Source organism: Homo sapiens, chromosome 3 (assembly GCF_000001405.40).
Source record: "Homo sapiens chromosome 3, GRCh38.p14 Primary Assembly".
NCBI lineage: Eukaryota > Metazoa > Chordata > Mammalia > Primates > Hominidae > Homo > Homo sapiens.
Window position 1 is genome coordinate 152,021,024 of NC_000003.12, and position 3,851 is coordinate 152,024,874.

General features: G+C 42.4%; 1 annotated feature.

Moving 5' to 3' along the window:
• Positions 1,070-1,179: an enhancer, noted in NCBI's record as "active region_20702". NCBI's record gives its function as "activates an Ori minimal core promoter by ATAC-STARR-seq in GM12878 lymphoblastoid cells {active_cell/tissue: GM12878}" and the evidence as "EXISTENCE:reporter gene assay evidence [ECO:0000049][PMID:35858748]".

Genomic DNA, 3,851 nt, shown 5'->3' on the forward strand with positions numbered 1-3,851 from the left:
TCATCCCCCAGCAGTGGTTGCATGGCACAGAGAGAATCTGTGCACTTGGGAAAGGGTGAATGCAGTAGTTGTGAGATATTGCAGTGAGCTCAGTATTGCCCTGTCATAGCAGAAAGCAAAACTGGGCTGAACTCAGCTGAGGCCTGCCCACAGAGGGAGTATTTAAACTTACTCTAGCCAAAAGGGAATCACTCATCCCAGCGGTTGGAACTCAGTTCTGGCAAGCCTCATCGCCATAGGCTAAAGCATTCCAGGGCCCTAAACAAACTGAAAACACTCTATGCCATAAGGACTGCAACTCCTAGGTAAGTCCTAGGGCTGAACTGAGCTCAGAACAAGTGAAACACCAGGCAGGGTGGCTAAGGGAGTGCTTGCTATACCTCTGCCCAAACTCCAGGCTGCACAGCTCATGGCTTAAAAAGAGACTCCTTCCTTCTGCTTGAAGACAGGAGACGGAAGAGTAAAGAAGACTTTGTCTTGTATCTCACTTACCAGCTCGGCCACAGTAGGATACAGCACCAGCCAGAGTTGTGAGGCCCCCTTTCCAGGCCCTAGCTCCCAGATGACATTTCTAGACATACCCTGTGCCAAAAGGAAACCTGCTGCCTTCAAGTGAAAAAGCCCAGTCCTGTCAGGATCCATTACTTGCTTACTAAAGAGCCCTTGTGCCCTGAATAACCAGCAGTGGTATCCAGGTAGGACACTGTGGGCCCTGAGAGAGAATCTGAGACTTGCTGGCTTCACATGAAACTTTTTTGCGTGAGAAAAGCAGAAGAAAAAGTAAAGAGGACTTTGTCTTGCACCTTAGGTACCAGTTCAGCCACAGGGGTGTAAAGCACCAAGTGGGCTCCTGGGATCCTCAATTCCAGCCCTTGGCTTTTCTGGACCTATCCTAGGCCAGAGGGGATCCCACTGCTCTGAATGTTGAGTTCTGGGCCAGGCAGCATTCACCATACGCTGACTAAAAAGCCCCTAGGCCTTAATGGAACATCTGCAGTAGCCTGGCAGTATTCTGTTGGGTCTGTGGGGGTGGTAACCATGGGGTGAGGCCTCTCTGCCAGGGGAAAAGGGAGGAAAGCGTGGGAAGGACTGTGACTCATGGTTTGAGTGCCAGCTCTGCTGCAGTACAATAGAATCAGGTAGACTTCTAAGGATTTTGACTTCAGTTTCTGGCTCCTGGACGGCACCTCTGACTCCACCCTAGGGAAACTTGCTGCCTTGAAGGGAAGGACGCAAGCCTGGCTGGCTTTGCCACCTGCTGACTGTAAAGCCCCAGGAACTTGAGAAAACAGGCAGTGGCCAGGTTGTTGTCACATCAGGCCTTGGGTGAGACCCAGTGATGTGCTGCCTTCAGGTCTGACCAAGTGCAGTCCCAGAGCTGGTGGCCACAGGAATGCTTGTGTCACACCACTCCCAGATCTAGGTGGCTCAGAACAGAGGAATAGAGAGACTCTGTTTGGGAGAAAGTAAGAAAAGAACAAGAGTCTCTGCCTGGTAATCCAGAGAATTTGTCCAGATTTTATCCAAGACCACCAAAGTAGTAACTCTACAAGTCTGCAAGAACCAGAGCATGATGGGGCTTGGGGTGCCACCTAAGGTAGATACAGCTTAGATAAAAAAACCCAAGTGCTTTTGAATACCTGGAAATCCTTCCCAAAAAGAATGGGTACAAGCAAGCCCAGACTGCAAAGACTACAATAAATAACCCAAATTTTTAACTCCCAGACACAGACAAACATCCATAAGCATCAAGACCATCCAGGAAAACATGATCTCACCAAATGAAGTAAATAAGACACCAGGGGCCAATCTTGGAGGACTAGAAATATGTGACTTTTTAGACAGACAATTCAAAATAGCTGTTTTGAGGAAACTCAAAGAAATTCAAGATAACACAGAGAGAGAATTCATAAGTCTTTCAAATACATTTAATGAAAAGATTGAAATATTTAAAAAAAGACATACATTTGGTTCTTGGGCATTTGGGTTGGTTCCAAGTCTATGTGGCACATACACACCATAGAATACTATGCAGCCATAAGAAAGGATGAGTTCATGTCCTTTGCAGGGACATGGATGAAGCTGGAAACCATCATTCTCAGCAAACTAACACAGGAACAGAAAAACAAACACCACATGTTCTCACTCATAAGTGGGAGTTGAACAATGAGAACACATGGACACAGGGAGGGGAACATCACACTCCGGGGCCTGTCAGGGAGTCGGGGGCTAGGGGAGGGATAGCATTATGAGAAATACCTAATGTGGATGATGGGCTGATGGGTTCAGCAAACCACCATGGCACGTGTATACCTATGTAACAAACCTGCATGTTCTGCACATGTATTGCAGAACTTAAAGTATAATTAAAAAAAAAAAAAGAGAGAGGAGACAAAGTTAAAGTGTAGAGTTGTTATTAGGTTTTTTTTTTTGTCTGTTTGTTCATGCAAACAGTATTAAGATGTTATCAGCTTAAAATAATGGGTTTTAAGATATTGCAAGCCTCATCATAACCACAAATCAAAAAAAAAAAAAAATGCAATGGATACACAAAAAACTAAAATGCAAGAAACTAAATCATACCACCAGAGAAAATCATCTTTACTAAAATGAAGACAGGAAGGAAAGGAGAGGAAGACCATAAAACAACCAGAAAACAAATAACAAAATGGTAGGAGTAAGTCCTTACTTATCAATACTAATATTGAATGTAAATGGACTAAACTCTTCAATCAAAAGACATAGAGTGGCCAAATAGATTTTTAAAACAAAACAAAACAAAAAAAACAAGATTCAGTGAGTTGTTGCCTATAGGAAACACATTTCACCAATAGGCCGGGTGCAGTGACTCACACCTGTAATCCCAGAACTTTGGGAGGCCAAGGCAGGCAGATCAAGAGGTCAGGAGTTCGAGACCAGCCTGGCCAATATGGTGAAACTCCGTCTCTACTAAAAATACAAAAAAAAATAGCTGGGCGTGGTGGTGCACACCTGTAGTCCAGCTACTTGGGAGGCTGAGGCAGAAGAATCACTTGAACCTGGGAGGCGGAGGTTGCAGTGAGCCAAGATTGCAGTACTGCACTACAGCCTGGGTGACAGAGTGAGACTCTGTCTCAAAAAAAAAAAAAAAAAAAGAAAAGAAAAAGAAACACATTTACACATTTCACCTATAAAGACACAAAAAGACTGAAAATAAGGGGATGAAAAAAGATATTACATGTCAGTGGAAACCAAAAAGAGTAGGAGTTATGATACTTACATCAGGCAAAATTGATTTCAAAACAAAAATTATAAGAGACAAAGAAGGTCCCTATAAATGATGAAGGGATTATTTCAGCAGGAGGATGTAATGATTGTAAATATATATGCATCCAACACTGGATCACCCAGGTATATAAAGAAAATATTATTAGAACTAAAGAAAGAGATAGACCTCAATACAATAATAGCTGGAGACTTCAACACCCCATTTTCAGCATTGGACAGATATTTCAGACAGAAAATCAACAAAGTAACATTGAACTTAATCTGAACTGTAGACCAAGTCTACCAAATAGATACTTACAAAACATTTCATCCAACAGCTGCAGAATACACATTCTTTTCCTCAGCACATGGATCATTTTGTCTATAGATCATATGTTAGGACAGAAAACAAGTGTTGAAACATTCAAAAAATGAAATAATATTAAGCATCTGCTCTAATCACAGCAGTATAAAACTAGAAATCACCAACAAGAAGAATTTTGGAAAATGTACAGACACATGGAAATTAAACAGTATGTTCCTGAATGACCAGTAGGTAAATGAAGAAATTAAGGAGGAAATTTCACAATTTCTTGAAACAAATG